Source organism: Homo sapiens, chromosome 12 (assembly GCF_000001405.40).
Source record: "Homo sapiens chromosome 12, GRCh38.p14 Primary Assembly".
Lineage (NCBI taxonomy): Eukaryota > Metazoa > Chordata > Mammalia > Primates > Hominidae > Homo > Homo sapiens.
Window position 1 is genome coordinate 77377667 of NC_000012.12, and position 14912 is coordinate 77392578.

General features: G+C 37.6%; 1 long non-coding RNA gene across 1 annotated transcript; it reads left to right on the forward strand.

Annotated features, from left to right (window-relative positions):
- The first annotated feature begins 587 nt into the window (after window positions 1-587).
- LOC124902972 (uncharacterized) lies at window positions 588-13198 on the forward strand. The gene is made up of 2 exons (XR_007063383.1): window positions 588-2178; window positions 7833-13198. It is a non-coding gene; the product is annotated as an uncharacterized LOC124902972 (long non-coding RNA).
- The last annotated feature ends 1714 nt before the right edge of the window (window positions 13199-14912 follow it).

A 14912-nucleotide genomic window follows, 5' to 3' on the forward strand; every position in this document is an offset into this window, starting at 1 on the left:
GCATATGAGCAAGTGCGAAATTTGGTTATGCTTCAATTGTTGCCTAATGTAACAATTGCATTGGAACAAATTCATGTTTTCAAAGCAACTGCTATAGCAGAAGTGTCTGCATCTTGTATTGTTGCAAGGTAACAAGGGAGATAGGGAGTGGCAGGAAGTGAGTTAGGGTGGAGTTCCAGGCTAGGGCTTCCATTCACATCTCCAACATCTTTTTAATACTTTGTCATTTAAAAAGGACATCAGGGCTGGGCACGGTGGCTCACACCTGTAATCCCAGCACTTTGGGAAGCCGAGGCGGGCAGATCATGAGGTCGGGAGATTGAGACCATCCTGGCTAATAAGGTGAAACCCCGTCTCTACTAAACATATGAAAAAAATTAGCCAGGCCTGGTGGCACATGCCTGTAGTCCCAGCTACTCTTGATACTGAGGCAGGAGAATCGCTTGAATCCGGGAGACAAAGGTTGCAGTAAGCTGAGATCGCACCACTGCACTCCAGCCTGGGCGACAGAGTGAGACTCTGTCTCAAAAATAATAAAATAAAATAAAATAAAATAATATAAAATAAAATAAAATAAAATAAAATAAAATAAAATAAAATAAAATAAAATAAAATAAAATAAATAAAATAGTTTTTAGGATTGCTTTAAACCTCTAGCAAGTCCTTTTGATCTTTCATGACCATACTGCTTTTCCTGAAGAGAAGAGAAGACCGTTCTCTTCTCTTCAGCATTCTCACATGTACTGCAATGGGAATTTTTACCATGATCCTAATATCTGTTTCTGACCCTTGTTACTCCTGAGAGTTGCCCTCTGTTGTCTGTAGCCTGGTCTTCCTTTGCTTTTTCATCATTTCCTGTCAGGTATTTTCTGCATTAATGTGGGGGCTGCTAAGAATTCAGTTCTGTGCTACAACTGCTACCCAAATCCTGATTTACCTTGAGTGGTTACTTTGCTGTTGAATGGTTTCTAAGCAAATTGGTCACTCATACTTCATGTTGCTGCTGGCACGTTTAGATGGAAGAGGTCATACTTTTTGAAAATTTATCCTTCAGTACTCCCTGTTTGAATCTTTGTTTAGCAAGTAAAATTAAGTAGACCTGAGAGGAGTTAGAAGTTCTTTTAGATCCACTTACCTGTTTAGAAAAATAAGACCTTGCATATCTTAGCTGATGATCAGTCGATTGTAATAGATAGCTGTTAGTATTTCCTGAACATGTAGCATAATGTCAGGTACAGAGTTACATACTTTACCTGGATTATCTCATTTCTTCCTCATAATGGCCTTAAGAAGTAGGTACTATTATCTTCATTTTACATGAGGCAGCTGAGACTCAGGAAGTTAAGTGACTGGCTGAAGGTCGCGTAGATACCTGTTCAAGGTCACATGCTGGAGCATCCGTAAGAACATGCATAGCTTGATCCAGATAACCCAGGCTTTTACCTATTGCAGCATAATTGAAATAGTGTGCTTCAGACATTATAGGCATCTTGAGCTTGTATTGGGAAGTGGGCACACATCAACGTGAAGGGCCATGATGTTTGGATAATTTTCAAATCAGATCTACTAGCAACTAAGTCTCTATACTTAGCTACATAAATGTAGCATTCATCACATTATATGATTGAGCATTCACTCAGAATATTTCAATAGTACTTGAATTGCTATCAGCTAAATTTTCTATTCGTACTTTTGCTAGGCATTTTTGTTAGCTAAACTCTCACTGGTAGTAGCAGCATAGATAGAGAGGGGAGAAGCCTGGCCCCTTCCCTGTTACAGGTTTAGAGTCGTTCCATATATCAGAGTATAAAGTCACACTACACCTGCTAGGGTGAGGATGGGGGGCATTTGTGCAATATAACTATAAGAAATGTGCTCAAAAATGAAATGTGTGACTGTAAATAAATAAGTTAGCTACTTGGTTCTGTGGCTAAGAAGCAAAATAATAAAGATGGAAATTGAAAAAGAGGAAGCTCCAACTTCATCTCTTGGAGGGATCACAGGGATCAGGTTTTGCCCCTTCAGTGTCTGTGCTTCTACTGGTGGCACTTGGTAACGGGGCATTATGACATGGATGGGGATGTTGTGATGTGCTGTCTTCTAAGTACCTATATTTCTAACCAAAGGTTTGACCTCTAACAGCTAGACATGGGTGAAATTGGATACCAAGCTTAATGGGTAATCTTGACAGTTTACAATGCCTTTCCAGGTGTATTATTTTAGTTATTGCGATTCTGTGGGGTAGGCAGGAAAGCTATTATTCTCATTTAATAGGTGAAGAAATGGAGATTCTGAGAGGGTTAATTGACTTGCCCAGGGTCACAACCACTAAGTGATAAAGCTGTGACTTTTGAAATACTATCTTTTATGTCCTAATCCAGGGGATTTTCTTGCTCTCCTATGTTCTTCATAATGTATGAGACAGTTCATGTACAGGTGGCAGCTGTTTCATCAGACAACTGTTTCTGCAGCCTCTTTATTATTTTGTAGCATTTTGATACCTCTCATCATTCTCTGTGTGATTGGAGGTCTGGGATATGAGAACTTCAAATTTCCTGTCAAGGATGTCCTAAACCTATTTTCTCTAGAGCTGAATGGATAGAGAATGGCAAATTCTTATGCAGAATCTTTGTTTGGAATTTTCCGTCAAATGATTTTTAGTGGGGAGAGAGCTCTCTGTCTGAAAGGGAGAGAGAGGTTTAATTTTGGCTTTTAACAGAGCAGAGGACTCAGCACATGATTAAACTATGTTTTGGGCTTAGTGAAAGAAACAAAATTACTTGAATAAATAAAAAGCTCCTATTTCTGCCTTTGTGGAATTTAGGGACTGATTGGAGTCTGATGGATTCTCATTCTGGAGATTCTCTATCCCCACCGGTTTGTTAGTTCTCTGTGACCAAGGCACCTGCCTGTTTTCTTCATTGTTGTGCCCTCAGCTCTTAGAAGGCACTCACGTAATTGAGGGATAAATAAAATAATGTTGACTTTATTTCTCTTGGATCAATACACTGAATCATTAGGTTAGCATGGGAAGGTGCTTAAAGCAAGACTTTGGAGTCAGATGTAACTTGGCTTGGCTCCTGAATTTGGCTCTAATTATTACCTTACCCTTTTGAGTCTCAGTTTTCTTAACTGTAAAACTGATAGTTTACAATGACCACATGATATTCTGCATGTAAAGAACTTACCGTAGTATATTCATCTGATCTCATGCTGCTAATAGACATACCTGAGGCCAGGCATGGTGGCTCATGCCTGTAATCCCAGCACTTTGGGAGGCTGAGGTGGGTAGATCACCTGAAGCAGGAGTTCGAGACAAGCCTGGTCAACATGGTGAAACCCCATCTCTATTAAAAATACAAAAAAAAAAAAAATTAACTGGGCGTGGTAGCATACACCTGTAATCCCAGCTACCCAGGAGGCTGAGGCGGGAGAATCACTTGAACCTGGGAGGCGGAGGTTGCATTGAGCTGAGATCACACCACTGCAGTTCAGCCTGAGTCACCCAGTGAGACTCGGTCTCAAAAAAAGAAAAAGAAAAAAAAGGACATAAAGGACATATCCAAATATCTGAGATTGCATAATTTATAAAGGAAAGAGGTTTAATAGACTCACCATTCCACATAGCTGGGGAGGCTTCACAATTATGGTGGAAGATGAAGGAAGAGAAAAGGAACATCTTTTTTTTCTTTTATTTTTGAGACGGAGTCTTGCTCTGTTGCCCAGGCTGGAGTGCAGTGGCATGATCTTGGCTCACTGCAACCGCCACCTCCCAGGTTCAAACAATTCTGCCTCAGCCTCCTGAGTAGCTGGGATGATAGGAGCCTGCCATCACACCGGCTAATTTTTGTATTTTTAGTAGAGATGGGGTTTCACCATGTTGGCCAGGCTGGTCTTGAACTCCTGACTTCAGGTTATCCACCTGTCTTAGCCTCCCAAAGTGCTGGGATTACAGGTGTGAGCCACTGCACCCAGCCCAAAGACACATCTTACATGGACATCTTACATCTTACAAGATCTTGTAAGATTTATTCACTACCATGAGAAAAGTATGGGGGAAACTGCCCCCATGATTTAATTATCTCCACCTGGCTCTGCCCTTGACATATGGAGATTATTACAATTCAAGGTGAGATTTGGGTGCGGACACAGCCAAACCATATCACGCAGTATTTAGCACATAGGACATTTTAAATCAATGCTGGCTGCTATTACCATTCTCAGGATTCACTTGGACCTCCACACTTTTCATAGGATGGGCTGATCATCCTAAGGTTGTAATATCTGCTTTTGTTTCATCTCTAAATCAGGATGCAGTTCTTAAGATTTTATTACCTCTCTAACCCAGAACTCTATCTTATCACATCTCTTTGCACATTTGGGTGCTAATACACTGTCTTTTCTCATATTCTTTGGTTAGTTTGGGCTGAAGTCTTGGATATCATTTAAGCACTTCCACACTAGTATCAACATTTGTCTTACCAAATTTTTGGAGAAAATATAGGCCTGATTCTGGGCTATGCAGATTAGAATAAGCAAAATGAGCTCTCTGGAAAACCTTTTCTGTACCAGGGAAGAGATCGTTGCTTAATCGCTCCTACAACTATTTGTCATCTTTTATGTAAGTCTAGGCCAGAGTTTCCCAACCTCAGCACTGCTGACATTCTGGGCTGGATAATGCTTTATTCTGGGAGGCTGTCCTATGTACTGTAGGATGTTTAGCAGTATCACTGGTCCCATCCACGAGACATCAGAAGCATTCTCCTACTCCCAGCAACCAAAAACATCTCCAGATTTGCCAAATGTTCCCTGGGGGACACAATTACTTCTGGTTGAGAACCACTGGCGTAAACCTTAGTCTTTTGTTTCTCTGATGGATACTGCCCCCTTTCAGGTAACAGTGGACTTTTCTCATTTATTCTTTCTTACTGCCATTCATTCTCTCGGCTCCCTCCTTTTCCCTCTTGTACTGAGAACAACCATTTGCTCAGGTTGAAGTAATTACTAAAGTGCTCTCTGTCAGTGCAAAGATCTAGAATAAAAGCTATTTTAAAAGTACTCAATGATTCTAAAATTCTCAAGGGCCATAACAATCCTCAGAAAGTCAAAGTAGTAAGTATTCTTGCTCTTCTTTAGCTTGTTGAGGGAATGATTAGATGTTGTCAAAATTGTGAGGCAAGTGATATTTAAGACAAATACCACCTTCACTTTTTCTTTACTTCCTCATGTCTTGTGATGCTCCCTTTCTAAAACTTCAAATTTATTTATCATTTATCCTCTGTATGCACATTTTTCTTTTAGTCCTTATCTCATGAGTCCCACATGTATGGGATCTTAGCTCATTATTAGGAGAAACAGGTGATCAATCTAATTTATTTAAAATTGGAAATAATTCCTAGGATTTACTACATTGCTTCTCTTTGCATTTGTGTTTTGTTAAGACAAAACTTTGTAACTCAAAGGAATGAGTCTCATGGACTGTACTGAAGTGAAACGAATTTTCAGCAGATGGGAAAGATAGTTTTAGACATGAGTCTTCATTTACCTCTTAACTCATGTGTCCCAGACAACTACTTTCTCTATATAGTGATGACCAACATACATTTCAAGAGTTTCAAAATAGAGGTTTCCCTACCTTCTTATCATCTTTGCAGTTCTTTGGCGTTGTCTCCTGTTGGATATAACCCTCTCTTCTGAGGAAACTAATTTTCTTGTTGATGTGGTTTTTCCATATGAAATGGTCTGTGAGAGAATAAGGAAGTTAAGCAAAGTGACAAGTTGTGCATTGATGCAAGCTACTGGAAGATGGAACTAAGTTTCAAAATTGTGTGTGTAATTTATGTGAGAGGCTTTGGAGAGGATAGTGGTATAATTCTGGTTGTGGGAGACAGTTAATTTATTGTGAAGATTGAAAAAACTTTATAAGAGAAAAGACAGCTAGAAAAACATTTTATGTGGGAGTGATGAGGACACTATAAAGAGGAAGATTTGGGAAAAGATTAGAGAGGCTGTAGGAAAACATTGGAAGCCTTTCATATAAGAAGAAAGCTATGTAGATTTATTTATAATCTGTAAAAACGAGAGTGTTGGCTCAATCCCTTTCAAGTTTAATATTCTTAATATGACATTCTTGAGAATACTTGTTTATATAACATCCAGAAAATAAAACCAAATTCTAAGATATTTGATCAATTATATGAAAATATATTAAATGATAAATACACTTTTGAATCCAATTCAGGTATTAGTAAGTCATCAATCTATGGACATAGAATATACTCAAGCATGAAAGAGGAGGAGGTCATATGTCCACGTCTTTGTCTAAAGTAACTCTTATACTCTCTGTGGTTGTTTCTGTTACACAATGCTCACTGTAATGTGGTACAGAGAGAAGAGTCCTTCTATTCTTTTTAAATAGCCAACAGTGCTGCATTCTCAGCTTCTCAGGAGTTCAGGGGATCAATATTCCTTTCAATATTTTGAGAGTTTGTATGGGATCATCTTTAGGAACATGTCAACAGAGCCAGTACAGATGCCGTCAAAACAGTGTATGGGGACTATAATCACAAATAGAATGTTACACCCAAAAAATTCTCCAACAATCCTTTATTAAGTGCCTACAATATGTGAGGCACTTTATTGTAGGCACTTAATAAAGGATTGTTGAAGAATTTTTTGTGTGTGTTACATTCTGCTTGTGATTATAATTTCTATACACTTGCTATGTGCTGGGGCTGTTAAGAAGAAAAAGAGGAAACAGACACCCGAGTGCAACAGCAGCCATTTCCAAATTATAGTTTTTCTCTGTTTGCAAAAGCATAGTGATTAGAATGGAGCCAGTACACAATACGAGAGGCCCACAGGTTTGGAATACAAATGACATGTGAGAGCCCTTTGCTCTGGACATATCTCCACATGGGGTCAGCTGCAGAGAGAGTTAGTGGGGTGGGGGCTACTACTGAGAAGCAGACTTCCTCCAGCTTTAGAAATGGTACTTCCATGTAGAGGAGTGACCCAGAAAGCCTCTGGATTCATTTTTTCTTAGGAAAGATTTTTGAAATACTCTGCTCCATTTAAGTTTTTCTGGAAGATTGGCATTGGATTCTGGAAACATCTGGGGGGTGCAGAAAACTCCTCTGGAGGTACAGTTCTTGGATCTTCTATGTAGTTTGGGATTCGACACAAAACAGATTGAAATTCCAGGGCAGGCTCTATTTTCATGGAGGGCTCTCCAACCTACAACCGGCTCACCTGCATGCTTTTGCTTTTGTGAGTTCTTCAGGCTGAACCTCACACCCTGCAATCTTCTTTAGGGATGTTCTGGGGATTATAAATGGCTCAAGCTTGGGAGACAGGTACAGGAAAGGAGGGCCGGGGTAGGCTGTTAAGGATAGTTTAATGAAATCCATTTTTATCCAGCTAAAATGCCTAGCGGATAAAGAGACTTAGTTCTACCTCTGGCTTGAATCTCCCTCTGTGACTTTGGGTGAGTCACATTTCCTGTCTGGGGCTTTGTTTCTCCATCCATAAATTGAGGGAATGGACTAGATAATTTCTAAAGTTCTAAGTCGATCAAAGTTGATCTAAGTTTCTAAGTTAATCAAAGCAGAAATGGTTCCTAATTATATCTCCTGTTGCTATTTCTAAGTTCCTTTAAAAAAAAGAATAAAGCCATCTCATAAGACCCTAATTAACTGAGTTTTCCTTATAAAATTATGTCTTTGCATTAAAGAGGGTACAGGACGAAAATGAATACCCACAATCCTTCTTGCAAATGAGATACCCTAATTAGTCCTATTACAAAGAACAAGATAGATTTTTTTTTTTTTCAGTTTACCTACAGCATCATAGGAAAATGGCAATGATAAAATGGGAGAGAATGGATTGATTATTGCTGCTTGAGCCCATACAGAAATAGGGCCTTGGAGTTGCTGGATGCCATTGATTGCTATCTATTCATTCTCACAACAACTTTAAGGAAAATGCAGCCAAGAGGAGATATACTCCCAGGTTAGAGATACAATGGGTAACTTCCAGCAAATATTATTTCTGTGTAGAAATGAAAAAGTAAAAATGAGGGATGATATCCATTTTCAGAAAATGCAAGACTGGTATAAAATTAAAACATTATAATGTCCAGAAAGATGATTATGCATAAATGGCATATCCTGACTGAATTTGTCATCAGCCACAGTGTTCGATTCATACCTACCTGTTTTACAGGAAAAATAAAAGATAAGTACACATTGCTGCTAGCATCAAAGAAGCAATGCAACTCTAAAGACAGAGCTGGAATCTTTTTCTTGCATTAACTTCAAATCTGTCAGTGGTATAAATTATGATTGCAGAAGTTATATTATTGTGGCAGTATTATAAGCAAGAAGAATATAGCAGTATTTTCAGATCCCAGGTGGAACATATATGGCTGGCATTTATATCCCAGTTTATGATTTATAAAGCAAGAACAAAATTATGAAGGGAATATAAGTGCTGCCCCACCTAATCTGTCATTTTGTTGCGTTACATCCAATTTCATAACTTCTTTTTCCCTTATTTCTTATTTAGAAAAATGAATGCAGTGCTATCATTTTTAGAAGGAAAAGACCAGAGTTCATTGTATTTAGAGACGGTCATGAATGGCCTATTTATATTAAGTATGAGAGTTTCCAGAACAGCGATTAAAAATGTTTTAAAATTCCAGATTAGAAATGTGGGATTTTCCTTTTGGGCTAAAAAGCACTCTTTAAAAAGTTACAATTATACAACTCACAGGAATGAATTAAAATTAGAAGATTTGCATTTATTCTCCTCTCTTCATGGCAGTATAAACTTTATGTGTTAGGGTTTTGATTCTTCTTTTCCTCTTCTTTACTTGCAATTAGAATTCTGAACATGTATTGGTATTTAAAATGGTAGTTATCCCGGACTTAATGTAGTTGATTCCATTCCTGAGAGACACATTTCTTATCCCCTGATTACACTCAGTTTTACTTCTACCTCCTTATGCTACTCAAGTAAAATTAACCTTGGTGTGACTTCCACCTTCCTCAGACTACTGACCTGGAAATAGGGATTTTTAAACAGGAATCTAGCACATGGTCATCATGAGGTAATCCTTCTCCAATATTCTTTACTGGAAACATCTGGAACATGATTAATAGTTTGGAAAATAGGTTATGTTAGTAAAAGGTAATAATAATTGAAAATGATTTTTTATGTAGATAAATGTGATTTTAAATACAAAATGTAAGTTCATGAGAAGCAGTTGGAAGAAGGGCAGTTACCTGTTATTCATTCTTTTGAATATTAAAGAAGATCATATATAATAGCAGGAGAAATTTGTGTTAGGAATAATGATCCAGTTTTGTAGAAGTTGCCCAGAGAGAAGGTAAATTCTATAGTGCGAAAGAAAAAAGATAAATAGTTAAATGTCTATGAAGTGTCAGAATTTTGAGCCCAGGACAAAATTGTCCCCATGTTTGTTGCAAGCTTTTTTTCACTTACCAATGAGGTGGTAAATATATATTTATATTATTTACATTTGTATTACTTGTATCCATTATTCTGCTAAGGTGTAATGAGCTACAGGTTTTCTTGGAAGCAAATCTGGGATACATAGAATTGATTGTTTTAGAATGCAAATTCCAGTAATCAGGGACTATTCTGGGTTCTGAGTATGTGGAAGTATTCTGGCAAGAAGCAAACTACAATAAGCTGTTTATAACTACAAGGAGTCACCAGTGTCATGAGACATGAAAAAAATGTGATGAGGGAGGCATAATTTGATGTAGAAGAGTCGCAGGCAAAGAGAACCCATTTTAAAACATCTTATTGGAAAATGTGAATTGTTTATTTGTCATCAGACTGCCAATGCTGAAAATACGGCCCAAATTAGGGGCTCAAATTAAAACATACAGAGCAAGAGCAATACGTTGGACACAGTTTTCATATATTTTTGAGAAAGTATTAAGAAATACAGTGAAGGTATTTATTGATTCAGTGGTATTTTTCTGTTTATTTCTTAGAACTATATTTTATGCTGCATTCTTTTACTTCATAAGTATCCCCTTTCTTCCTCTATGCTTTTGTCTGGGATTGAAATAAAATAAAACATTTAGGGCTATCCAAGGCTGTCAGGTCCATAATGAAATCTGGCTTTATTTATGTGTGTGCTTAGAGGGTTCAGAGCAGTCGGAGCTGCTAACTGTTGTGTTAAACATTGGTTGGCATGCTCCTCCTTTAAATCCTTTGAAAAGAGCTGATTTTTTATGTTCATGCAAAAGAGTCCTCAGAGGATAGTGAGGGTGAAATGTGGTCTGCTCATACATGAGATTATCTTATTATACAACCTATGCCATTATTAGAGGAAGAATCATTTGTGGGGTAAAGTAATATGGATCTCTTTCCTGTAGTGTGAAGAACAGGTGTTCTACGGCCTAGGAAATTTAGAGGAAACTTTAATCATGCCTGTAGATTTCAGTAATAAAAATGTATGACCTGTGTTTGGCATAAATGGCATCATAGTATGACAATCAAATCTGGATTGTATATCTTAGTTTGTATATCTAACACACATTATTTTGATTTAAGTAACTGGGAAAATTAGTATTTTTTTAATGTCCCAAGTATACATAATGATTAGGATAAGTTTTTTAAATGGGGAATTATGACCTAAAATAATTTTTTCCATGGAGAATGGATGCCTTGGTATTAAGTAATCATAGCTTTATGTTTGTACCAGGATGTTATTGATAACTGTGAGGGAAGTGGTTTGGGCACCTCACCATTAGCAAGAGCAATATTTACACTGGAAGAACAAGTGAAGTCTACAAGGAATGTTAAGGTCCAGGAAACTATAGGGTCATTATAGAGATGTGGTATTCAAATTAGCAAGACCTTCAGCATAGGCATCACCTAGGAGCTTGTTAGAAATGCAGAATCTGAGGCAGTGCCATGGACCTGCTGAATCTACAGTTTAGTCAGCTCTTAAGGTTGTTGGTGTGCATGCTAACATTTGAGGAATGCTGGTCAAGAGTCTCAAATGGAATGGAGCCAGTAATTGAAATTGGAAAACAGAGTACAAAGAGTGAGGGATCATGAGCCTGGGGTGCTGAAATAAATCAAAGGGATCAGGATCAAAGGAAGTTATGAGTTTTTGTTTGTTTTAATGATGGGAGGGTGGGGTAAGAGAATGGATGGTTGGTATCTTGAGTGATGGCCATAGTTAGAACCACCATTGATGCTTCGAGTTTTATGAAGTGTGCATGAGATTACCTCATTTATGATTATGGGTGGAACAGACACTGGGTACTGTGGAATCTGGCAGCTATTAAACATCGAAATAGATCACAAACTTGGAAGCCTGGTAAGGTGGAAGACTTGAGCTGAGTCAAGTCTGGGGAAGTGATTGTTGTTGTCTGAAGATGAATCAGTCTCCTGGGGTTGCAAAACCTATCAAACCTTTCCCTAAGAGCAAAGGCATTGTATTGATGGGATGATTATAAAGTTGGGCTTAGCTGTATTCATTTCTGAAGTCAGGTGAGTATTGCATGTGAGTGTTCTTTCCAGATGGCAGTGACAGATTATGCAGGCAGGCCTAAAGATGGAAACACTAGTAAAAAGAATGAGATTTTGCTAAGTTGAGATTTGAGGAGCAGTTAGACTCACATTCTGTTGGAAATCACTGGGAAGCCCAACCATCTCACAGTTGAAGAAATGTCAGTAATTATGTTTTAATTTCTAAAATTTAAATTAACTTTTTTACTAACACTAAATATTTTAACATTAATTTTTATTGATTTTACTTATTTTCCTCTAAAAAACAGAAATACACTCATAAAAAGTCAAAAGAATATAGAACAATGATTAAAATCAATCTACAGTATATAATATACACATATTTAATAGGTTGTAGCATTTTATATATACCCTCTCTCCAACTTCTTTCCCCTTTCCTCCCAATTGGTAACTGTACTTATGGCTTAGCATGTTGTATTCCATATCTTAGGAGGAAAAAAGAATTTTTTAGTCATGATAGCATCTGAAATTTTGGAAGAGAAGAAAATTTGTTTTAGTACCAACAAATCTTTTGAATAAAAATTGTATAGGGCTTTTAAGGACTATAATAAGGCCCAAAAGACAAGATCTTTCTTTGAACTTACTAGCACTGTAGGCAGGAAATGGGCTGCAATGTATTTTAGTCCCTGCCAATTATGTCAGTGAGATCAGAGGTATATATACAATATATTTTTAGTGGTTACCAGCACTTAAGCTGTGGCAATCCTCATCCTACACTCTTGTGGCTTAGCTTGGCAGATCTGAGATGGGACATAAGCCACAAAGTGCTATGGGTCTTAGGACATAATGAAGTCATACATTACGGTAAAGGGTGGGGAGGGGGAAGAAACCCCAACATTTTCCAATAGCCAAGGTCTTTGCACATAGATGCTGCACATACATTTTATTATTTCTGTATTTATAGCTACTTAAACTATGTAAAGATTGCCTTAATTTCTTTACCTATAAACTTACAGGACTAAGTGACTTGCCTTTATTTATGCCACAGGGCTATTCAATGCCATCTAGAATACCCTTCAAAGCAAGTATCCCTGGCTCCTCTCCATACACAGTAGGTGTTAAATGATAGAACTCTGTTCGTGGGTATCTTGTTAGGTGCTATTGGGGCTCGGAAACAGATACTTCAAACTATGGTGCATTGACATGCTGAACTGAAGAAGCCTCAAGGTCTTTTTGATTCCCCATTCCCATCTCTCAATCTTCTGTTCTCCCCGGCCCCCAAAACAGGATGAAGTTGTTCTTTGAAGTTTCCTTATCTGCCTAAAGACTGGACCTGCCAAAAAGAAAACAATTACTGCTGGTCCCTTCCCTGAGTTTTCAATAACTGAACTCACATGACAGGAGGAAACACTGAAGTCAGTAAACACTCCTGGATAGACTTGTCACAAACCACTGTAGGTTCTGTGGGCCCAGCAGATTTTGTCCCAGGCCTTTGTATGTTCTTCGAGCCCATTGACTTCCCCTAAAAATCATTTACTATGCCCCTAAAATCATCCAGACTTCCTCATCTCCCTTTTCCCCTAAGAAGGGTGTATAACCTGTACCCCATTGCATAGTGGGGTAATCACTCTGTGATCTTCCCTCATGCACATCAATAAATTTATATGCTTTTTTCTTTTAATCTGCTGTTATGAGTTGATTTTTTTTTTTCAGCAAACCCTCAGAGAGGGAAGGCAGGACTTCCTACAGTAGGCATGGCCCCTACAGTACCCATGGTTAGAACTTCTTGACACTTTACCTTGGCTGCCAAAGTCATTCGGTTAACTGGAGTGTGGTGAGTCTGGGGTGAGAGGTAGATGTGATGAAGTGAGGAGGCAGTGTGAGTAGACTGCAGCTAGACTTGGGAGGACAGCACCTATACCAGCCTTCTGTGACCAGTCAGGTGATGGCTCAACCTCCCTGATCCTCACTCCTTGTGATGCCATCAAATGCAGGGCATGGGACATGAGAGCAGGAGCTCCTGGACTGTGAACAACCAGGATGACTAGAAGACCTTTGGTTTAAGTTCACACTTCAAATTGGAAATCACCACCAGAGTGTAACTATCCCTAGTAAAAGTGTGCTTTGTTGAAATAAGTTAATTTTGCTTGTATTTTAATTACCTATAAGTGTTAGAATGAGGTCATATGTGATAATATAAAAATGAATGGAATGGTTCATTTTTTTGTTGGTTCCATTGTGTTTTCCATTCAGAACCATAATTATGCCATATAAAAAAGTATTAATTTGAATTTTTAAGAAAAATGGCCACTTTTAATCCTTTTGAAAATGTGAATGCACATTGGTCTTTCCCAAGGGATAGTTCGGTTGGTCTGGAAAAACATCTTTCCATTTGATATATTTTCTTCTCATATGTTTCTTATTATTTTAGCTTCATTTGACCCAGTGATATGTGCTCTGCAAATTTATGGATTATTCCTTTTGATTTGGGGCATGTACTCCTAGGCTTAAATCAATCTCAACTGTGCACGTTTATTATGGGTTCAGGAAGGGGAGCCAGAAACCATCTTCTGAGTAATCAGAATTTTCTATTGTTTCTTTCTTTGTTTCTTTCTTTTTTTTTTTTTTAAAGCCACTAAAGCATTTCCTGAATGATCTCCACTAAGATTGAATTGTTTTTTTCTCTGATGGTCATATATAATTGAAAAGTAATACAGTTAATATTTAAAGAGGCATCGTTGATATTCACCTGGAGATATTTTTCTAGGAAAAACAAGCATTATGATTTGCTCTTCAAATAGCTATCATAGGATTACACTGCACAGCAAATAATACATATATATATATATACATAGTGTTAAAAACTCAGACTACATTTGTATAGTAGATGTCCAATTATTTCACATTAATACCTCTGATTATTTTTGTTGTTCATGCCAGTCACAATGTTTAAATCAGTTGCTCACAGAAAGGGACTTTTTATGAGAAAGAGATGTAGCCTTTTGTCTTTTGTAAGTGAATTCATGGAAGGCATTTTACAAGTGGATTTTCTGCGGCAAGACTTTATCCCATACATTGTTGAAACTTTTATTAGTCAGGTCTTATCAAATTTCCACTTAACGTATTTCCCCCTCCATTTAAACACCAGGACATGAAGATAATTTAAATGGCCCGGGAAATTTACATATAGCTATTCATAGGATCAAAATACTTTCTTTTAAACTGTTTACTTGGATGCTATTAAAAATTATGTGGTAAAAGACAGTAATTGTTAGTACGACAATGCAGAGTAATGGTACTATAAGAGGAAAAATTTCGGTGTGGATTTTTTAGGAGAAGTAATATTTACGGTTCTATTTTTTTAAAGGGCTTGACACGAGTTATTAATTCATTTA